This window comes from Homo sapiens, chromosome 5 (assembly GCF_000001405.40).
Source record: "Homo sapiens chromosome 5, GRCh38.p14 Primary Assembly".
NCBI lineage: Eukaryota > Metazoa > Chordata > Mammalia > Primates > Hominidae > Homo > Homo sapiens.
This window is the reverse complement of record NC_000005.10, coordinates 60,147,018-60,171,835: the sequence shown is the minus strand read 5'-3', so window position 1 is coordinate 60,171,835 and position 24,818 is coordinate 60,147,018. Positions and strand designations below refer to the sequence as shown.

The window sequence follows — 24,818 nt, the reverse complement described above, 5'->3', positions numbered from 1 at the left end:
AAGAGTGAACTTTAGACCTCTTGTCTGGATATGAGTATGGAATACATTATTCAGTTTCTTTTTTATAACTTTAAATAGCTTGTAAGAAGACACCTATGCAAATAGCAATTTCTCCAAGATAAGTGGCCATACAGGCCTTATGACCTTTTGAACATGTCTTCCCAAATACTTCATTTCTGATTAGAGGATGGTCATTCAGATTTCACTGGATTTAAATCCACAGTGGGATAGGTTTTAATCCTTTCTGGAAAAAATATTTATAAAGCCTATGTGAGTTTCAGAATAGTAAGAGCTTTTATTCTGTCTCTCCTTGGATGTGTTAACCCTTCCTTCTACCTCAGATCCATGCATTTCTCTAAGTTTTATACTTTGTTTAAATTGAGCTTTCATTGTTTCTATGACCAATTTTCAATTTGTCTCTACTTTGCACTTCAGTAGAACTAAGATGAATTCTGAAAACGCACAACAGCCTTCATCAATGGTCCCTTTCTGTAAAGAGTATCTCTCCCCGTACATATTCAGAACAGTATAATTTTAGGAATCAACTGTATCTACCTAGAAATATGTTTTATTTCTCTCTGTCTCCAAAAACAATTGAAATTCTCTCATATGGTTTATTGCCTTGCATTTACAAAGGAGCCACAAAGTTCGATTTGTGTATACTATTTTTGCTTAACTAGCTATCTGGCTGATGTGCACATCAACAAATGACAATGTAGTCATTCCATCTTTGGTACATGGAGTATTATTTGATAAAAATTCCACTATATTTTAACTTCTGAAAGTAAGGTGATTTTGAAGTATCTAGAAGATAGTTTCTTTATTTCAACAATCATAACCCTGTGCTGCCAGATACATATTTTGATCCCAAACTTGAAAATATTTCAATGGTTAGATTATTATGCTTTTCATCTGACAGATTTTATGGTTTACCATTTTCACTTAAGCTTTCCCAGCTTTTTCTCCTCTTTAAAAGTAAACTATTGGAAGTTTCATCATTTCCATTATCAATACTAGAAATTAAAGAGTCAGAGATATATGTATTCTCAGAATTGTCTGAAGAGTTTATTGTAATTTAATAAGATGTTCTCTTCTGTTGTTTCATCTATTATGTCATTACATATCATCTATGTCATTATCGTGTTTCTCTTCATGATTTTTCTGGATCACTTTAATGCTCTAATCAAGTGCTCTTTATTTTGTGTACAGAGGCCTCATTATGATAATACTATATAAAACATTTGTATGATGCTTTTCAGTTTACAAAGTCCTCTTAAAAAACATTACCTTATTTGCAACTCATAACAACCTTGTACATTAGGCTGTGTTATTATTATTATTATCTGTAGACAAGAAAACACTTTTATCAGGTAATGGAGAGGCATTTAAATGGAAGATTTTCAAATCCTTACCTGAGATCTGTTCACTCTTTTCCTTCTTTTTTAGTTTGTTCCCTTTTACTCTGTATCCTTGGAATTATGTAGATCTATAGTGAAAGGCTAGCCTATCAGTTGCTAGCCATTACTTTACCAAGCTGAGCCTTATTTGACTCATCCCAAGTAATATAGGTGATAATGACTACATCATAGGATTGTTATGAAAACTAAGTGAGACAAAGCACGTTAAAGTGTCTAACACAGTACCATTTTATCCATCCATATGCCATATGGTGGCATAATATTCTAGGTTGGCTATTCCTTAATGCTATGTAAATTTTCTTTCTTCTGAAATTAAAATAATTATAATACTTAATCCAAATTAGACTCTAAAAAGGTCATGGTCAGTATAATTTATGAGGTAAAAATGGCATCAAAAAAGAAAGAAAAATGCAGAGTACAGAGTAAAAACTGAGCCATTTTCTGGGAACTGTTGTGAAATTGAGTTTCTTAGGCTTTTCATGTCGATAATGCAAACTAAATATAATTTGCAGGTCCACAAAAAGTAAAATGATATAAAATTATGCTAAAATCAAGAAGAATGGAAATTAATGGATTTAAAAAATTATTGTTATTGCATTCTCTCAATTTTTTAAGACTCTGTCTCTGCAGTAATAAAGGGAACAGAGGGAAAAGTGGGATTCCAAAATAGTTTATTTAGACTTGGAATGCTTGCATGCTTATATCTCACTCAACATGAATACGTCTTAACTAATGGGGACTTAATGAAAACTTTATATTATTATTAATTGATTGTGGATTAATAAATGAATTAAAAATGGGGTTAGAAATAGTGCGTTATTTCTTCATCTCTTGCCTTTATTCAGCTTTTCTCTTTGTCCATTCTACAGTAGGAATGAATTCTATCTCATAGATAGATTTAGAAACCAACTCCAGCAAAAAAATTGTTGTGCTCTTTGTGAGGGAAGAGGTTAGATTAGGATGAATTAAATATTTCAGTTGAAAAAAATCTGAGCAAATTCATTTAAGATATTTTGAAAACTCCTAAACAGTATATAAATATATGAAAGTTTAAACAATAATAAACAGTGGAGGTACATCTTTTGTGTTGTAAAAAATGTAGTTGATCTTTTTCTTTAATGTTTCCTTATTTTTGTGTTTTGCTTAGTGAGGCTTTTCTACTGCAAGATTATGGATAATTTTGCCCATGTTTTTGAACATTCTTATGGTTTTTCTCTTTTCCCCTAACCTTGACAAACAAACTTCCTTTCAAATGTCCTAGATGCTTCAGGGATAGCTATTTGAAATAGTTCTTGGAGATTAATAATTCTCCATGGCAAGCTGTCTTATCCGTATTCTGGTAGGTTATCTTATAGAAGAGGAAAAGAAGGCAAAATCCTAGAGTTAAAAAATACAATAAACAAAATGAAAAAAGTAGTAATAACAAGTACAACAACAAGAGCTCTAGTGGTATACTGAGAAACAACTGCATTCTTTTGTTCTTTTTTCTTATTTTCAATCATTATGTTGCATGAGGTACAGCCATATGAATAAATATGTACTAACACATACCTAGACATACACAATCAGCCCTCATATTCATGATTTCTGCATCTGTGGTTTCAGTCAATTGCAAATCTAAAATACTTTTTTAATCATCTGTAGTAAGCATGTAGAGACTTTCCTTGTCATTATTTCCTAAAAAAATACAGTGTAACTATTTACATAGTATTTACATTGTATTAGATAATGTAAGTAATCTTGAGGTGGTTTAAAGTACACAAGAGGATGTGCGTAGGTTACATGCAAATACTATGCCATTTTGTATCAGGGACATGAGCATCCGTGGTATTCACTGGAAGTTGTGAAACCAATCTCCCACGGATACCAAGGGACAACTATATACATATATGTGGCTATGCGGCCTACCTACTCAGAAGAGGGTTCACAGAAGAAGGGGCAGCATGGAGAGATTCATAATGTCTTGTGAGGGAGAGGGGAGCCTACAGTGGAATGGTTAGTTAGAAAATAGCCAATAACTTATTTCCAGTGAGGAATTAGAAAACAGGGATTATGGAATTGGAAAAACTGAGGCATTAAAAGTCTTCCTCCTGAAATTACTATGCCAAGTGGAAAATCTGCTCTGAACCCCTATCCAGGAAAACATTCTTCTTCAAAAGATGTTACTTTTAACTTTGATAAGTCTTGATTAGCTCTTTTGGGTTTTAGCTGTTCTTTCACTATGTCCACACTTTACTTATCAATATTAATAAATCTTGTTATAGCCAGAGTGGTTTGCAACCTAAAGTAGAAAATATCTATATCTCAGGGCTTTGTACCTGATTGCACAGGTAGCAATCCCAGGCTAAGAGTACCCCTTAATGCTGCAATGGCCACAGTAGTCTTGGACAGGGGGATCATGCCAGTAGGTCTGCCCAGAATCTCTGGATAGATTTATTGTTGAAGACCATTCCTAGACAAATCCATTCTGTAAAGACTGGAATAAGTATTTACTTCTTTAGATGTGCAGATATTGATACATGTCCTCAAACATCAGATATAATCAGGGAAACATGATGACACCAAATGGACAGAATAAAGCACCAGTGATTGACCTTAAAGAGATGGAGATGCATGAACTTCCTGACAGAGAATTCAAAATAACTGTTTGAGAAAGCTCAGTGAATGTTGAGAAAAGACAGATAAACAATTTCTTTTAAAAAAGGAGAACATTAAGTGACCCACAATGAGAAACAGAAAAATTGAAATAACAATTTTTAAAATTAAACAGAAATCCTAGAGCTAAAATATACAATGAACAAAATGAAAATGAAATAGCATCAACAGCAGACTTGATCAAGCAGAAAAAGAATCTGTAAACTTAAACACAGGGTTATTTGAAAATACACAGTTCAGGCCGAGGCGGGCGGATCACGAGGTCAGGAGATCGAGACCATCCTGGCTAACACGGTGAAACCCCGTCTCTACTAAAAATACAAAAAATTAGCCGGGCGAGGTGGCGGGCGCCTGTAGTCCCAGCTACTCGGGAGGCTGAGGCAGGAGAATGGCGTGAACCCCAGGGGGCGGAGCCTGCAGTGAGCCGAGATTGCTCCACTGCACTCCAGCCTGGGCGACAGCGAGACTCCGTCTCAAAAAAAAAAAAAAAAAAAAAGAAAATACACAGTTCAAGGAGAGGAAAGAATGAAAGGAAGGAAGAAAGCATATGAGATTTATGTGACAGCATCAAAAAACAAATGTTTGAGTCATTGGTGTCAAGAAGAAGAAAAAAACAAAGGAGTAGAAAGTTTGTTTGAAGAAATAAAATCAGAAAACTTTCCAAATCTGGAGAAAGAAATAAGTATTCAGGTCAGGAAGGTCAAAGATTTCCAATCAGATTCAGTTAAAATAAGACTATTCAATACATATTACGATAAAATTCTCAAAAATCAAAGACAAAGAGAGGGTCCTGAAAGCAACAAGAGAAAATAAGCATACAACACATAAGGGCATTTTAATATGTCTATCAGCAAACTTCTCAGCAGAAACCTTACAGATCAGGAGGGACTTGGTGATATATTAAAAGTGCTGAAGGAAAAAAAAAATGCCAGCCAAGAATGCTATACACAGAAAAGCCATCTTTTAGAAATAAATACTTTCCCAGAAAATCAAAAGCTGAAGAAGTTTATCATTGCCAGACCTGTGTTAAAAAAAATGCTTAATGGAGTTCTTCAAGCTGGAATAAAAGAATGCTAATAATACAAAAACATGTGTTAATGCTAGTAACACAAAACATCTATAAATATAAAACTCATTGGTAAAAGTACATAGTCAAATTTAGAATACTCTAATATTGTAATGGTGGTGTTTAAATCACTTATATCTTTAGAAGAAAGGTTAAAAGACTAAATTAGTAAAAATAATAACTACAATAATTTGTTACAGGACATGCAGTATAATAAGATGTAAATTGTGACACCAAAATTCAAAATGTGTTTGGGAGAATGAGGTAAAAGTTTAGAGTTTTTTAATTTTTATTTTGCAATCCATGTTAAGTTGTTATCAGCTTAAAATAACCTGTTAAAAGTAAAAGTGTCTTTTATAAGCCTCATGATAACTACAATGGAAAAATAACTTGTTAAAATTATGGAAACCTCGTCTCTACTAAGAATACAAAAAATTAGACAGGCGTGGTGGCGGGCGCCTGTAGTCCCAGCTACTCAGAAGGCTGAGGCAGGAGAATGGCGTGAACCCAGAAGGTGGAGCTTGCAGGGAGCTGAGATCGTGCCACTGCACTCCAGCCTGGGCGACAGAGCAAGACTCAGTCTCAAATAAATAAATAAATAAATTTTATAAAGTGTTTTTTATAAGCCTCATGGTAACTACAAAGGAAGACCCTATTATTGGTACACACAACACAAAATGCAAGGAATCAGAATACACTACTAGAGAAAATCACTTAACCACAAAGAAGGGCAGTAAGAGAGAAATAAACAAAGACTCTACAAAACAACTAGAAAACAGTGAACAAAATAGCAGTAGTAAGTTCTTACCCATAAATAAGCCCTGAATGTAAATGGATTAAATTCTGCAATCAAAAGACAGAAAAATAGATTTAAAAAAAAGACCCAATCATATTCTGCCCTCAAGGGACCCACTTCACCTGTAAGTACACACATAGATCAAAGGTTAAATGTTATTATATTATATATAATTATCTATAATATAAAAACATATTTATATATAATAATGTTATACAGATATAAAATTGAACACACAAATAAATAGAAAGATATTTCATGTTCATGGATTCAAATAATCAATACTGTTAAAATTTCCATAATACCCCAAATGATCTACAGTTTCAGTGCAATCCCTACCAAAATATTAATGACATCCTGCATAGAAGTAAAGAAATTTTAAAATTAATATTAGAATTATAAAAAACCTGAATAGCCAAAGTATTATTGAGCAGAAAGCACAAAGCTGGAGGCATCACACTACCTGACTTCAAAATACTCTACAAAGCTAAATTAGCCTAAGCAGCGTGATATCAGCATAAAAACAAACAAACAGATAGACCAATGGAACAGAATACAGAGCCTGGAAATAAATTCACACATTTGTAGCCAACTGAGTTTTGTCAAAAGTGCCAAGAACACACAATGGTGAAAGGGCAGTCCATGTTTATTGCAGCACTATTTTTATGATAGCCAAGATATGGAATCACCTCAATCATCCATGCAACAACATGGATGAACCTGGAGAACCTCATGTTAGGTTAAATAAGCCAGGCACAAAAAGAGAAACACTGTATGACCACACTCATATAGAATCTAAAATCATTGATCTCATAGAAATAAAGAAGTAAATGGTAGAGAGGCTAGACAGGTTGGGGGAGGGGGCTTGGACAAATGGTCAAAGGATACAAAATTTTAGATAGGAGGAATAAATTCAAGAGATTTATTTCTGAGCATGGTGACTACAGTTAATGGCAATATATTGTATTATTGAGAAATGCTAGGAAAGCGGGTATTAAATGCTCTCCCACAAAGCGATAACTATGTAAGTTGATGCATATGTTAATTAGCTAGATTTAACTATTCCACAATGTAGAATACTTCAAAACATCATTTTGTATTTGATAAATGCATACTTAATTGACAGAATGTCAATTAAGAAACAAAACAAAACCAGCTCATGTCCTCCTGCAATGATTTAGGAATCCCAGAATAATTAATAGAGCCAAAATTTCCATCACATTTTCCTTGACTGCCAGTTCCATGTTGGCTATATCATTCTGTGAGCAAGTTTTCATTTTTTAACATTTAGTATGTTTACTCAGTAATCAACATATTTGCTTATAAGTAGTGACACAGATATTCAGCCGCATATATTTTTCTAAACTGGTATCCTCTTGTTTCTGCACCATTTATTGAAAAAATCCATCTTTTTTTCTAGAAGTATGAGTTTTTGATTGCTTAAATAGAATGGAAGGAGAAAAGGAAAATAATTAACTTTCAGATTTCACTAGGTTTTGGGTTTTTGCAACATAAGGAGTATTCCACTTAGACTTCTGGAAAATTTCTATTTTTAATCCAGGTTTATTTGTTGACCAGTGCCTTTGAATAGTTTTCCCGTTAGTTGTAAATAAAGGATTTCTTTACTCTGTGTCCTTGGTTTTCCTCTTTACCTGATATTTAGAATTATTATTGATAATTTAGTAATAATTTTATCATTAATATCCCAATCTATTGCTTGATTTGTCATCATATTGAGAGTTTGAGAAGAATTTATTTTTATTAAATTATTTTCCTTAAAAACAAAGTGTTATAAAAGAGAGGGTTAATAGAACAAAATGAAGAATAAATAGCTATTAAGAGGCTAAGTGGTATTAAAGACAGCTCTGTGGCATTTTGAGGTTAACATATTTAAATGATACATTCATTCCTAGACAGATAGATCAGCATTTACCAGATGGTTTCTGCTAGAATGCTCTCCTCTCCAATATCATCATCTCATTTGTGGTGTGTACAGATTTCCAGAAAGTCAATGGGGATGTCCTGGGGCTAGTGGGCCAGGCTTCTTCTTTTCATTTGTATTCAAAGCCAATATTTTCTTTCCAAATCTTGCCCCTTTCTTGTTTAACTCAAGGCTTGGCGTGGTAGGGGAGGTTGGGAATGGTGAGAAATAGTGCCTCCTTGAATGAAAGGTTGGAGGAAATAAGTTTACAGACTTGGCAGTGCTAGTTAAGGGCACACCCCATAAAGAAGTCTCAATATGGTTAACTAGTTTCCAGAGCAGTGCTACAACTGAGCCTTGTGCATCCCTGAAGTGATGAGCACAAGTATGATAATCATCGGAAGAGAACATATATTGTATAATTTGGAATCAGCCAGTTATTTGTCAGACTACCTTTGCTGTCTGTAGGATCAGACACACATGTGCCTCTGCATTTGGGTAAATGTAAAACCACATTTCCTATTATAAAGAGGAAAGACTGCTGGAAACAGCTGCTCTGGAAACCAAGTTGCTCAGAGGAAGTGAGCTAAACTTGTGTTTAGCTAAATGGTGTGTAGCTAAACCTACCCAGTGAAAAAAATATGTAGAAATGGACTCAATAACTTTCTCAAGAGATGAAAATATAGAGTAATAAATAGGCAAGAAAATAGGGATAGAAATGGAAAAAGTGGAGAGAGAATAACAATGGGAAAGGGAAAGAGGAAACACGCTTATGTGTTGTAGTGACTGACCAACGCAGTTTATGAAACAACATAGCTAGCTCAGGAGTTAGCCCAGGCTTTCAATTAAAAAGAGATGCATAAGCCCATATACCTCTTTTTCTTTCCCTCAAAATGACCTTGAGTTTTAGTTTGGTAGGGTTTTGGTACAGCTGTTATTTGATAATATCACATTGTGCTTTTCAATTAACTTAGATTGTTTAAAAAACAGATAACTGAAAACCATCTGTTTGTGGTTCTGTGTAATTTGTTCTCAGGACAGGGACTAGGAATGAACCATTTTAAATTCTGCTAATGAAACCTCTCATTAATTTAAGGAGTTCTACAAACTAAGTCTGTGGTACCAGGTAGAAGGGGTGCCAAGTGTTGGGCTTTCTGGGATAAGGGAAAATTAATTTCTTCCTTTGCCATTTGTGGTTGGGTAGCATCTTTTTTTTTTCTTCCTGGCAGCGAGTCTCATAATTTAATATGCATTAACATAATCAGGAATGATTGCTTAAAATACATGTTCTTGAAGTTTATCCCAAGAGATTTTTGATTCAGTATCTCTGGGAAGGGCTCCAGGAATTGCCACAGTTAAACAAGCTCCCCAGGTCATTCTGATGTAGATGGTCTGAAGGCCACACTGACTAATGCTGCCTTTTAGAATTGGGAGGTAAGTTTGGATTTTGTAGATCAAATATTACTACCAAGAATAAAAGAAATACACAAAACCTCCAAACAACTCAAATGATGTAACAACAAAGCAAATGGCTCAAAGCAAACAAAACCCAACAAAAGGTTTTAAATAGGTCCTTAGAGATACAATGTAATTTGTCTCAGCTGCGGAGACTTAAAGAGGCCAACTCTTAGTTGACATGGAAGAATAGGGACAACATTGCCAAGAAACATGGTTAATTTCAGTTATGGATACCAAACCCTGGGCTCTGGAAAGCATTAACAATTTTACCCACTATGCTAATCTTCCATATATGGGGCATGCTGGATAAATCTATTTTGCTAACGTCTCTTTTACAATAATGTACTTAATTTTGTTGGGTATATATTCTAATTTGTGTTTTCTAATTCAAGTTCTAACTTTTAAAGAGGCCCCCACCCCCACTGTTTTCCCTCGAGCTTATTAAAGGGCATAATATCACTTTCCTCTTGTTAAGAGTAAAGATTGGAAGAATTTAGTTATCAGAAAATGGTGGTAGGTTGATGCTTTTGGTGGTGGACGCAGCAGTCTGATGAATAAGCATCTTTCTTGAAGACCAGGGTTCTGCCACTAAAGATGTATGTGATTTCTAGAAAAATAATTTTACCTCATTGCATCTCAGTTTTCTCCTTTGTAAAATAGGGATAGTGGTAAGTGAATGATTTCTGTGATCCTCTCTAATGCTAAATAGAATGAGAATGTGCGAAGCCTTTGTTATCTCAGTAAACTTTACCACAATTCATCTGTAACGACAAAATGTTATTATTAGAAACATATTAAAAAGCTTGCAAGTGGCATGAATTCAGGCACTGTAAATGAGTGTAGTGCAGTACTGTGAAGGTGAGGGGAAAATATGCATGTTTCAATCATAGGGCTACAAGTTTGCACAGATCTGAAAAATTACTGTTGGGTTTCTTCAACTAGGGGATCCAGAATATCACTGTTATTCATACCTCTTGCCATTAGGTGGGGCAGTTGAAGAGTAGGAAGACCGTTTTCAAGTGAAATGTTGTTTTGCTTGAGTATGTTGTTTCATACTCAACAACATCTGAAAGTAAGTGGTAAAATAGACTTCCTTTTATATAGTCTAAACTCTCAGTGGCCAGATTATTAGTTTCTTTATTAATTCTGGATGGTGAGGAAGAAGGGGGACATGGGTGATAAAGTTAATGTAATGTAATATTGCAGATTGTATTATTAATGTAAATTCCCATTTGGAACTCAAAAGCCAAAATGGATCTGAAGTCAACTTATGCAGTCTACTTTTTCAGAAGAACAATTAAATAGTATGAGGTAGAGACAACAAAATACCAGGTTTATGGAACACTAGAAAGTGGAAAGGAGCCATGAGAGTTATTGCGGCCCTTCTCTCAGTGTCTATTGATTTCCTTTAGCATCTGGGGTACTTAACTATTTCCTTCTCCTTCTACTTTCTTTTAGAAAATTCTATGTCAATTAATTTATCTGACATCTTAATCGATAATTCATTAAGAAAATCTTTTGTGCCCAGCACATCATGATGAATTTTGATGGCTAATGTTACCTGGTCTCTGTTTTGAAGTGTTTTTATTGACTTATAAATTTAAGATGTTTTCCTAGAATTAAAAAAATGACATGGAAAAACTTCAAATCAGTCTTTTATAAGGTAGTGACTTTAAATTTTCATTTGTCAATTTCCACATTTAGGACAAAAAGTAAGAGATGTGGAGAGGAAGACAGGAATACTAGGGAAAAGGTGAGAGAAGAAGTATTTCTGGTTACTTCTGTTGTATATTCTTAAAAGTAAGAGTCCATAGAACCATGATAGTCAAAGTACTGAGGAAACAGCAGATTTGGAAATTTACATTTCATATCAAAGGGATTTTCTGTGAGACAAACCAATGAGATTTGATAGATTAGAAAGGAAGGACTAATAAAGAAAGCAACTGAATAAATACTTGAATAATAAATGATATGTGTTTTTCACACTCTGGTCCAGTTATTTTTTTTTCTCTTTTAAAAAAAATTTTGTTAGTGTTTTTGTGTGAGATAGTTAAAAGTTCCTGCAATCCACAGAGCTCTATATTTGATTAATTCTGGATTCCCAGCAAGTTTGCATGGCTTTTCAGAGGACTACAAAATAGGGAAAAGACTAAATTCAATATAGAATTGACCCATGAAAATCACGGGAGTTAGTGGTACCAACCCCTGTGCAGCTGAAAATCTGTGTGTAATGTTTGACTTCTCCCAAAAGTTAACTACTAATAGCCTACTGTTCACCAAAGTCAATTAACACATAATTTTTATGTTTTTGTATTATATACCGTATTCTTACAATAAAGTAAGCTAGAGAAAAGAAAATGTTATTAAGAAAATCATAAGAAAGTGAAAATAGATATTTACCATTCATTAAGTGGAAATGGATCATCATAAAGGCCTTCATCCTCTTCATCTTCATGTTGAGTAGGCTGAGGAGGAGAAAGAAGAGGTCAGGTTGATCTTGCTGTCTCAGGGGTGGCAGAGGCAGAAGAAAATCTGCATGTAAGTTGGCCTGTGCAGTTCAAGCCCATGTTGTTTAAGGATCAACTGTAAATCTTTTAACTTTTCAAATGACGCTCATTCACACAAAGAAATTTGGAAGTAGACAGGATTTATATGCAGCTATAATTTTAAATGGCAGCCAACATCATGAACAAATTCTCCTGACATCTCATTCCTTGATTTCTAAGAAGTCAATGCAAGAGGAAGGTGAGAATCAAATTTGGGCAGCTTTGCTCAGCTGAATATTATATGGTGATGATTATGTTAATAATTAAAATATTGAAATATTTATTTAGTACAGTCATTCACCATGTAACATTTTGGTCAGTGATGGATGGCCTACCATGGTAGTTTCATAAGATTATAATAGAGCTGAAAAATTCCTATTGTCAGCTCTACTGATATCACAGCCATCATAAAGTTGTAGCATAACATATTACTCATATGTTTATGGTGATGCAGGTGCAAACAAACTCACTGCATGGCCGGTGATATAAAAGGATAGTACATACAGTTATGTACAGTACATAATACTTGATGACAAGAATTACTGATAATAAGTGTTACTGTTAAGTACTTAATATAATAGATTACGTCCCTGATTTATGTATTTACTATACTATACTTTTTAATCATTGTTTTAGTGTGTACTCCTACTTACAAAAAAAAAAGTTAACCATAAAACAACTTCAGGAATGAGTTTCTTGAGGAGGTGTTCCAGAAGAAGGCATTGCTATCATAGAAGATGACAGCTCCATGTGTGTTATTGCCCCTAAAGACCTTCCAGTGGGACAAGATGTGGAGGTAGAAGACAGTGATGTTGATGATCCTTATCCTGTGTAGGCCTAGGCTAATGTATGGGTTTCTGTCTTAGTTTTTAACAAAAAAGTTTAAAAAGTTAATTTTAAAAAGCTAGAAAAAACTTACAGAATAAGGATATAAAGAAAGAAAATATTCTTCTACAGTTGTAAAATATGTTGGTGTTTTAAGCTGAGCATTATTACAAAAAGTCAAAAAGCTTAAAGAAATTAAAACGTTTATAAAATAAACATGTTACAATAAACTAAGGTTATTATTGAAGAAAGAAAATGTAAAAAATAAATTTAGCACAGCTTGGCCTGGCGCGGTGGCTCACGCCTGTAATCCCAGCACTTTGGGAGGCCGAGGCGGGCGGATCACGAGGTCAGGAGATCCAGACCATTCTGGCTAGCACGGTGAAACCCCGTCTCTACTAAAAATATATATTTAAAAAAATTAGCCAGGAGTGGTGGCGGGGGCCTGTGGTCCCAGCTGCTCTGAAGGCTGAGGCAGGAGAATGGCGTGAACCCAGGAGGCGGAGCTTGCAGTGAGCCGAGATTGCGCCACTGCACTCCAGCCTGGGCGACAGGGCGAGACTTTGTCTCAAAAAAATAAATAAAAAATAAATAAATTTAGCATAGCTTAAGAGTACAGTGTTTATAAAGTCTACATTAGTAGACAGCAATGTCCCAGGCATACTCACCACTCACTCATTGACTCACCCAGAGCAACTTCCAATCTTGTAGCCTCCATTCACGGTAGGTGTTTTCTACAGGTATATTTTTATCTTTTACCACATTTTTACTGTATCTTTCCTATTTTTTATATGTTTAGATACACAAATACTTACCATTGTGTTATGCTTGCCTGCAGTATTCAGTACAGTAACATGGCATACAGGTTTATAGCCTAGGAGAAACAGGCTATACAATATAGTCTAGGTGTGTGTGTGTTAGGCTATACCATCTAGGTTTGTGTAGGTATACTCTGTGATGTTGACACAACAACGTAATCACTTATGATGGATATCTTAGAACATATTTTAATTATTAAGTGACACATGACTGTACTTAATATGTATTAGGTACCAAGCTAAGCATGCAATTAACTCATGCAATCCTCACAATAACCTTATGAATTTAGTACTATCAATTAGCACCATTTTTTTCCATGGGAAATAGGATATAGGATATTCTATCACAAGCATACCCTCAATGCTAGAGGAAAGAAAGAAAGAGACGAAGAGGGTGAGAAAGAGAGGGAAGGAAGGAAGGAAGGAAGGAAGGAAGGAAGGGAAAGAAAGGGAAAGGAAAAGAAAAAAGAAAAAAGAAAAGAAAAGAATGGTTCATTTTCTGTTTGTATTTAAATAATATCACATTATTATTTATTGGGAAAAGCTAACTGAGTTGGGAGCAGTGATGTAGGTTCGTACCACCATTAGTTGAAATCATTGCACTATCTGAGAAGAAAGACCATGAAATCTAGGAAGTTTAAGAAGTTAGTTTTCGTTAGATCCAAATACTGTTAATGTTGGCTATCTTTTTTGGATCACAATTTAAGAGAACAGATTCCTTTAAATGAATTGGTTGAGGAAATGAACAGAATATTTACAAATATTTCTCCTTAAGTGATATTTCATTAGGGAGAGGTCTTCCTTAATGCCTGTCTGAAATAGCACCCTCCTCATTCTCTAAATCTTCACCTGCTTTATTTTCTCTTTGTAGAACTTACCACCTGACACATTTCACAGTAGTTTGTTTGTAGACTGTCTTCCCTCTCTAGCTTCATAGGTACAGGGAATTTCTCTGCTCTGTTCACTGATAATTTTCTTGTACCTAGAACACTGCATGGTACTTAGTAGATGTTCAATAAATATTTGAATGAATGAATGTATAAGTAAAATAAGAAAATTCATGTGGCCAATAGGTAATTTAAAATATTCTGCTTTGCTAAAAACCAACAGAAGTAAAAATAGGTAAAAGCAATTAGTATTTTCATCTACCAACAATGATTTAAACATATTCAAAAAGATATATACCCAATGCTCATGAAGGTGAAGCAAAACAAACATTCTTACAAAATTGAAAAACACTTTGCTGGAAAGTACTTTGTGAATATGGTGTCTTTAAAAATGTTTCTATACTATATTTTAATTCTATTAATATATTCAGGAAAGCAATCCATAATTAAAAAATATCTTTTGCTGCACAAAAGTCTTTGCTTCAACAGTATTTATTGTAGTGAAAGAAGTTCAAAAAATTCTAAGTTCCAAAGGTAGGGGCACAGTTAAATGAATTATGACAACTCTCTTTCATGGTATATTATATAAGCATCATGAGTTAGGTTTACTAAGAGCTTTTTTAATATGAAAAAAATGCTAATGAAATAAATTTAATTTGAAAAACAGCATAAACATTGGAATAAATGACATCTTAAAAGCATACATAGAAAAAATGGTAGAAATTGTGCCAAAATATTAACAGAAACTAGGGCAGGTAAGATTATGGGTGATTTTGTTTTATACTTCTCTATACTTTTATTTTTCAAGTGTTCCAGAATGAAACTTTTATAATGAAAAAAAGTTTTAAATATTTTAACTGATTTTGTATTATACTAGTGATAATCCAGAAGTGATTATGTTTTATACAATAGACTATGGCTTTATATGAAGAAATGAATATAGTCTAGTATTGTTTTTATTATCTAGGAATATACATGTAACTGAAGAATTTATGAGTAAAGTTTAATATAAGCAAGTAACTGGGACTTCTGGAGGAAAGCTCACTCTAGGGGAAGCTCTCAAATGTGTTTTCAATCTTGGATTCCAGTCAAAAAAAGACATGAGTTACTTGGATTTAATAACCAGATATACATTCTCCTCCTTTAGGACTAGTGAAAAATGGGCACTGAGTGAGCTTGGGCACAGACTAATAAAGGATATTCAAACACGATAAACAAACAGTAGCGAGGCCCGAGCTACCTGGGCTTAGAAGGCAGCAGGGCCCCCAGAAAGTGGTAGTAGCAACAATTACTGTGGTTTTATCCTGTGGCTAGCCCAGGTTCCAGACAGAAAGTTCTTCCTGGCCTCTTACCCTAGTAACTCTGAGGACTGTACCCTTGATTCTTGGATTGTTAGACACATTTCCACTTCTGGCTTTGGCCCTGCAACCCTGGTACCTAAATTGAGCAGCTTGAGCACACAAGTTCCTCATTCTTTCATTATGTATGTCCTTGTTAAGAGACTGTGAAACATCCAGAATACTAGGGCAGCAAGCCAAAGCACAGCCTCTAATAACAAGGCTTTCCATTAATTTGATTCATTTAATGAAAAGCTATGTGAACTATTGTAATAGGTTCAAGAACACACCTTAATTCTTGGACTGTTTTTTAGACCTTTAGAAGTCGAAGGCCTCTGAAATTATATGAGCTTGGGTGTTGAGATAGAGGAAACATGAAAATTTATTCTACCTGAACCTCTGCAGTTATAAACTAGCATCGTATAATTTATTTATTTATTAAGTCAAGGTTTATAAGTCATTTCCACAAAGCCTAGCACACAGTGTCTAGCATATATAGTAGATGCTTGATAAATATCTGTCAAGTGAATTTCAAATACTTAAATTTTGTTGTTAATACATTCATGTAATGGAGCCATATCATCTCATATGAATGATTGAAGAATACAAAAACTCCAGACTTGAATGCAGAATATATAAAGAACTAGTACAAATCAATAAGAATGAGACACACATCCCATTAGGAAAATGAGCAAAAGACTTAAACAAGAAGCCCTTCACCAAAGAAGAAATCCAAATAGTCAATAAGCATATAAAAAGGGGCTCAATCTAATCATTGAGGAAAACCAAACCCATAATTCAATACAAGTACACACCACAAAAATTGCTACAATAAAAAAAGATAGACAATGCCTAGTGTTGGCAAGAATGTGGAGCAACCAGAACCCTCAATCACTTCCTGTGATAGTGTGTATTGGTAATTGGCTTGAAAAACTCTTTGGCAGTATCTACTAAAGCTGAACAAATGCATAACCTATGACCCAGTAATTCTAGTCCTAGATGTATCTCAAACAGAATTGCATGCAACTTTTCATAAAAGACTATACAAGAGTGTTTCATGGTAACACCAGTATTAACAGACAAAAGCTGGAAAGTACCCAATGCCCATCAAAGAAAGAACCAACTAATAAATTGTAATATATTCACAAGAACCTAAGAATACAACTCTAATACTAATCAGCTGTGAGAATGAATGGATAGCATGTAGTTGCAACTACATTTTAAAAGATTAATTAATCTCTCAACATAAGGTTGCCAGGCACAAAAGAATGCATACTATATGATTCCATTTAAACAAAGTGCAAAAACAGGCAAAAGTATTGTTTTGGTTTTAGAAATCAGGATAGTTGTTACCCTTATGGAGTAGGAGAGCTACTGCCTAGAAGAGGGCACATAGGGGACTTCTGGGTGCTGATAATATGCTGCTTTTTGATCAGGGTGCTGCTTATGTGGTGTACTCTTTATAAAAATGTATTGATGTTTACACTTACGTGCAATTTTTGTATACATATTATTCTTCAATAAGAAGTTAATAGGGCCGGGTGCAGTGGCTTATGCCTGTAATCCCAGCACTTTGGGGGGCTGAGGCGGATGGATCATAAGGTCAGGAGTTCCAGACCAGCCTGGCCAAGATGGTGCAACCCCGTCTCTACTAAAAATACAAAATTAGCCAGGTGTGGTGGCAGACACCTGTAATCCCAGCTACTCAGGAGGCTGAGGCAGGAGAATTGCTTGAACCTGGGAGACAGAGTTCTCAGTGAGCCAAGATGGTGCCACTGCACTCCAGCCTGGGCAAGAGACTGAGACTCTGTCTCAAAAAAAAAAAGAAGTTAATAGAATTTTTTCATTCTTTTCAATTAACTTACCAAATCCTGGTATTGAGCTTACCATGTGATACATATAAATGCAACCCCAGAATATCTCCTGATATGATCTCATGATGCCATGGGAAGCAGTAAGTCTTTTTGAAAAAAAGCACTGTTTCACTTATTAAAATGCCAAATACATTTTACCAGAATTTATTATTGAAACAAATCTTAGTGTTATTTTTGACCTGCTGTAATGCTTTTGCTTGTTTTTTTATTATGGTAAGAACATTTAAATTGAGATCTACAATCTTAAAATAATTTAAGTAGACAATACAGTATTGTAAAGTACAGGCACAATATTGTATTGACAATCTCTAGGACTTATTCGTCTTACATAACTGAAACTTCATACTTATCTAACAGCAATCCCTCATTTCCCCCTCCTCAGACCCTGGCAACCACTGTTTTACTCTGTTTCTCTGAGTTTAACTATTTTAATTTCTTATCAAGTGGAATCATGCCATGTTTTTTTCCCTGTAACTAGCTTATTTCACTTAGCATAATGTCCTCTAGGTTCAAACGTGTTGTTGCATATGGCAGGATTAACTTCTTTTTAAAGGCTGAATAGTATACACACAACCACTACATTTTCTTTATCCATTCACCTATCAATGAACATGTAGTTTGATACTATATCTTGGCTATTGCGAATAATGCTTCAAAGAACATGGAATGCAAATATCTCTTCAACATACAGATTTTATTTCCTTTGGATATATGCCCCGAAGTAGAAATTCCAGATCATATGGTAGTTCTATTTTTAATTTTTTGAGGAAGCTTCATACAGTTTTCCATAATGACTGTCCTAATTTACATTTCCACCAACAGTGTACAAGTGTTCTCTTTCCTTTACATCCTTACTAACACTTCTTTTCTTTTGTCTTTTTGATAACAGCTATTCTAATAGATGTGAGGTGATATTGTGGTTTTGATTTGCATTTCCCTGATGATTAGTGATGTTGAACATTTTTTATCTACATGTTAGCCATTTGCATGTCTTCTTTTGAGAAATGTCTATTCAAATCCTTTGTCAATATTTTAATAGGGTTATGTGTTTTCTTGATACTGAGTTGTTTGGGTTCCAAATATATTTTGGATACCAAACTCTTATCAGATGTATGGTTTGCAAATACTTTCTCCTATTCCATGGGTTGCCTTTTCACTGTGTTGTTTCCTTCGCTTCCTGGTTGCATTTTAGTTTGATGTAGTCCCACTTGTCTAGTTTCACTTTTGTTGTTTGTGCTTTTGATGTCATATCCAAGAAATTATTGTCAAGACTAAGAAAAAAGAGAGAAAACTCAAATAAATAAAATCACAAATGAAAGAGATGGTACAATTGATGCTACAGAAATCAAATGGATCATAAGGGACTACTATAAATAATTATACACCAACAAATTGGATAACCCAGAAGAAATAAATTCCTAGAAACACACAACCTCCAAAGATTGAATCAGGAAGAAATAGAAAACCTTAATAGACCAATAACAAATGAGATTGAAATCAGTAATAAAAAACCTCCCAACAAAGAAAACCCAGAATCAGGTGGCCTCATTGGTAAAAATTTTTTCTTTTTTTTTTTTTTTTTGAGACAGAGTCTTGCTCTGTCACCCAGGCTGGAGTGCAGTGGTGCAATCTCGGCTCACTGCAAGCTCTGCCTCCTGGGTTCACACTATTCTCCTGCCTCAGTCTCCAGAGTAGCTGGGACTACAGGCGCCTGCCACCACGCCAGGCTAATTTTTTGTATTTTTAGTAGAGATGGGGTTTCACCATGTTAGGCAGGATGGTCTCGATCTCCTGACCTCGTGATCTGCCCGCTTCAGCCTCCCAAAGTACTGGGATTACAGGCATGAGCCACCACACCTGGCCCCCTCATTGGTAAATTCTACCAAACATTTAAAGAAGAATTAACACCAATCCTTCTTAAACTCTTCCCAAAAAATGAAGAAGAGGGAACACTTCCAAATTCATTTTAAGGCCAATGTTACCTTGATTCTAAAGCCAGAAAAAGACACTCAAAGAAAGAAAATTACTGATAAATATTTCTGATAAATATAGATGCAAAACTCCTCAACAAAACACTAGAAAACTGAATTCAACAGCGTACTAAAAATACTAAAAGGATGATATACTATGATCAAGTGAGATTTATCCCTGGAATGCAAAGATGGTTCAGCATGCTCAAATCAATTAATGTACTACATCACATTAATGGTAGGATTAAAAATAACATGATCATCTTAATAGATGCATCTTAATAAAAGTTTTTGAAAAAATTCAACACCTTTTCATGACAAAAACTCTAAAATACATTAGGTATAGAAAGAATTTACCTACATATAATAGAGGCCATATTTTTGACAAGTCTACAGCTAACTGAATACTCAGTGATGAAAAGCTGAAAGCTTTTTCTATAAGGTCTTAATCAAGGCAAGGACATCCATTTTTGCCATTTTTGTTCAACACAGTAATGGAAGTCCTAATCAAAGGAATTAGGCAAGAAAAAGAAGCAAAGGCATCCAAATCAGAAAGAAAGAAGTAAAACTATTTCTCTTGGCAGATTACATGATCTTATATGTAGAAAACCCTCTTTCTACAAAAATCTGTTGAAACAAGCAAATTCAGTAAACTTGCAGAATATGAAATCAACATGTTAAACTCACTTTTGTATCTGTACACTAACAATGAACTATCTGAAAAGGAAATTAAGAAAAAAATTTATCTACAATAACATCAAAAAATATAATATTTAGGAATAAACATAACCAAGAAGGTGAAAGACTGAAAACTATACAACGTTAATGAAAGAAATTAAAGAAGATGCAAATAAATTGAAAGACGTTTTGTGTTTATGGATGGGAAGACTTAATACTGTTAAAATGTCCATACTACCCAAAGATTCAATACAATCCTTATGAAAATTCAAATGGTAGCCAAGTGTGGTGGCTCACACCTGTAATCCCAGCACTTTGGAAGACTGAGGCAGGCAGATCATTTTGGGAACAAAATGTAAAGTTGCTTCTAAAAGAGATTTATGAAGTTTTTTGTTTACTCTATGTTTAATTATTTGCTGAGTACACTTATCACATTGAGATGGGAATTTGAACAAGATCTTTGTACTTGATTAGAGGGAATAAAAACAGCACACTTATCAAATAATCAGTGTGTTATCCCATAATTCAGCTTGTGGCTTGCTGAAAGTTGACTCTTGTGTAAAAGATTAGTTACTTTTTATTGTTTTAAGGCTAGAAACATAGGTTCTATTTTTGTCAATGCTACTACATCCCACAAAGTGTCTATATGAGCCATTTCCAAATTTCCATTTATGATAAGGGGCTGTGATGCATGAGTATACCCACGTTTTTACTGACATGTGTAGAGACAAACTCATGAGTTTGCCTAGTTACCTTTTATTCTGTATTCACAGATTTCCAAACCTTCGGGGTTAGGCCATACTTTCAGGGAAGTGGGTGAGCTTTATTATTGAGGCCAAGTCTTCTATCTCTGTTTAGATGCAAACCTAGTACTTAGGGACCTTGTCATATCTATTTTCTGCAAAGTACTTTCTGTACTTGTCAAGATCAATAACTGGTTTTATAATGACAGAGGACACAGAATTTAGCCTTCAGAACAGAAATGGCTATTTACCATGCGAAAGTATTTTTTTTTTCTGACACCATCAGACCAGTGAGCATAGATTTCTCTCTGAGAGACACTTTTTAAACACAAAAATTACCTATTTATCTTGTTGCATAGCAGCTCTGTCAACTAAACAGTGCATTTAATAATAATGATAATACATAAAAAGTCTAGTATTTCATGGTTTACAAGATATTTTCCACATTAATTGTCCCATTGGACCCCCCAAAATTCTATAAAGTGGTCATATAATGTATTATGCCATTTTGTATGGGGTAACTGATGAGGTAACAGACCAGAGACTGAGCCTAGTTTGCCCAGCTAAGAACTATCAAAGCCAGTCTTCCCAACTCAGTCCATGATCTCTTACTATTTTACTTCAGCCCTGTAAGATTCATGGTTGTATTTCCTTCCATATAGAACTATGGAATAATAATTACTAATTTAGAATATTATATAGTCCATTTTGTACAAATTGTCTAATTTGTATAGTACTATCCTAGTACTAGTATATATAATTCTATATACTAGTCATATATACTAGTATATAGAATTATATATACTATATGTATGTATATATACACTAATATATATAATTATATACACATATGTATTACATATATGTATATATTATATATACTAGTATATATACTATATATAACATATGTATATATAGGATTATATATAAATTATATACTAGTATATATAATATGTACTTGTTATATAATTATATCTACATATATACACATATATGTAGTACTATATCTACATATACTATATATCTGTATATATATAGTACTAGTATATATAATTATATATACATATATGTACACACATATAGGATGCTATGAGAATGCATAGGAAGGGAACATAGTCCTAGAGTATCATAAACTTTCACTCTGTGTCCAAAGTCTTTCATTAAATGATACCAGAACATAGGATCTACTGAAATTCTAAATGGCCAGTTGGAAGAGGAAGGTCATGTTTGGGGAACTTGGTTAAAAATTACCTTTAGTGGAAAAGAAAGATAATAACTCAGTAAAAGTAGCTAGTAGGCTGGAGCAGAGTGTCTATGTTTGCTATGGTTTGAGTGTATCTCCCAAAATTCCTGTATTAGAAACTTAATCCCCAATGTAGCAGTGCTGATAGAGTGGAACTTTTAAGAGGTAATTAGGTCATAAGAGTTCTTCCATCATGAATAGATTAATGCTGTTATCATGAGAGTGGGTTAGCTATTGCAAGAGTGGCTTTGGCATAAAAGCAAGCTCTCTCTATTTCATGTGCTCTCACCGTATGATGCTTTCTGCCGTGCCTTTGTCAGGTGCTGATACCATGCTCTTGGCCTTCACAGCCTCCAGAACCATAAGCTAAATAAACTTCTTTTCTTTGTAAGTTACTCAACCTATAGTATTCTGTTATAGCAACAGAAAGTGGACTAAGACAGTGGTTTAACGTCTGGATTTCAAAATGAAAACCTGAAAAAGAAAGAATGGGAAGAGGTCTTACAAAAATATCAAATTAGGCTCAATTTTATTGACCACAGTTTCTTAAACATAGATATCTCTCATATATTATCAAACACTTATGGTGAAACACTACATTTTTGTTCATAGGAGTTCTCCATAGCAGAATTCCTCCATCTCCCTTTACTTTGCCCTGAAAAAATCAGCACCCCAGGAATTCTTTATCTTTCAAAGACGGCAACATATAAATAAGCATTTGAGTTTCCCATACAGGAATTTTTTGCAAGTCTGGCTTAGAAAATGGCCATGTTCTATTCAAAACTCTTTGAATTTCTGGTTAAATAAAAATGCCAACTATGCCTTTTTCATTAAATAAGTCTATCTTTCATTATCTAAATGTATGTCCTACTATAAGTTCCCAATGGCAGCTATGTCCTTGTGCTTAGGGATTGCAAGATGAAGGTTAACTATTAACGACAGTGTTTCTGAACCTGAAGTTATTAGAAAATCTTTAGGGACTCCTTGGACTCTTGGAAATTATGTACAAAATTATAATGACTCATTTGTACAGTCATCCCTTGGAATCTGTAGGGGATTGATTCCAGAGCCAAATACCAAGACTGCAGATACAAAACCCAGTGGATGCTTAAGTTCCTTACATAAAATGGTATAGTGTTAATATTTAACCTATATTCTTCCATACACTTTATCTCTAGAATACTGCTAATAACTAATAATATGTAAATTCTATGTAAATAGTTGTTATAAACAATGATTTTTATTATTATTTTTGTGGTTGTATTGTTACTTTTGTGGAATATTTTTAATCCCCAGTTGGTTAAATTGTGGATGAAGAACCTACTAATATAGAGGGTCAACTGTACATTCTCTTGGGAAGTATATTCAGAGCTTTCATTAGAGACTTAAAAGGAACCTATGTTACTCCCCTGCCCCACCCCCAAAAAAGTTAGGAACTACTGCTTGGTGGGGGTAATAAACTATCCTTGGAACATCAGATTCTTTAGATACATCATAGAGAATTGGCATCTAAAGAAATATTCTGTGGTAACCAGCTTCCAAGATGGCCTCCAGTGATCTGCACTTTCTGGTATTCAGATTTTTGGGTCATCTCCTTTCAAATTGTATCAGGGTTGATCTCTGTGGCCAAGAAAATTCAGGAGGAGTTATGATGTGCCACTTTGGAGGTTAGGTTATAAAAACTGTGGCTTCTGTCTTGGTTACAGTTTCTCTTTCTCCAATCACTCACTCTGGAGGCAGCTAGCTGTCAACTCACAAAGACACTCAAGCAGCCTATGGAAGAAGGCCACATGGTAAAATATGGAGGCCTCCAGCCAACAGTCAGCAAGGAACTGAGACAAGTCAACAACCATGTGAGTGACTCGAGAAGTGCTTCTCTAGCTCCAGTTGAGACTTGCAGTAGCAGCAGCCTCAGCTGGCGGCTTGACTGCAATCTCTTGAGAGACCCTAAGCTCTCCTGAATTCTTGATCCTTAGAAACTGTGTGAGGTAAGAGATATTTGTTGCTTTAAGATGCTACATTTGGGGATAATTCATTACACAGAAATAGATATCTCATTCACATTATCTTGACTGGTCATGATTAAAAGAAAAGTGAATGTAAGAAAATAAAGTGTTTTTAATGCTGACCTTCCCTGTTAATCCTAGAAAATTAGAGTTTGAAATAATAATGTCATAGTCACTATTCCTTTAATCTTGTTGGTAAATAATGAATGCAGCGTGGCCCATTCACCGCCAGCACTTGGTCACCATTGTGATCTACACAGCAAGAAGCAGCCTAACGACCTGTCTGTTGAAACAAACAAGTTTTCTTTTAAGTGATTTCTTTGTTTCCATTTATAAGGCACCAACTTTCAAAGGTGTTCTGGGAAACCTTTCTTGTATTTCTTCTAAGCAAAATCAATTCAACAGAGAGTTCACGCTTTGCCTGTGATCAATGGGGAAGTACCAGTGTAGCTTTCTTTTTTTTCCTATAGGGCTGCTCATAGTCCTCCGATAGACTTTACAGCTGTTAGTTTTGCTGCAGTAGTGACTTGCTAAAATGGTGGCTCATTTGAATGGTGCTTGTATTAATTTACACTCC

General features: G+C 34.5%; 1 protein-coding gene across 15 annotated transcripts in view; it reads left to right on the top strand.

The window, feature by feature from the left end:
* PDE4D (phosphodiesterase 4D) overlaps nucleotides 1-24,818 on the top strand; it is a 1,553,091-nt gene that overhangs the window by 350,293 nt on the left and 1,177,980 nt on the right. For 2 of the 15 annotated variants that reach the window (XM_024446110.2, XM_011543469.2), the window contains exon 3: nucleotides 23,942-24,088. The exons of the other annotated variants lie outside the window; for them this stretch is intronic. In XM_024446110.2, coding sequence (XP_024301878.1) covers nucleotides 23,942-24,088 — 147 coding nt within the window. The remainder of the gene's footprint in view (nucleotides 1-23,941; nucleotides 24,089-24,818) is intronic. 15 annotated transcript variants of the gene reach the window in all.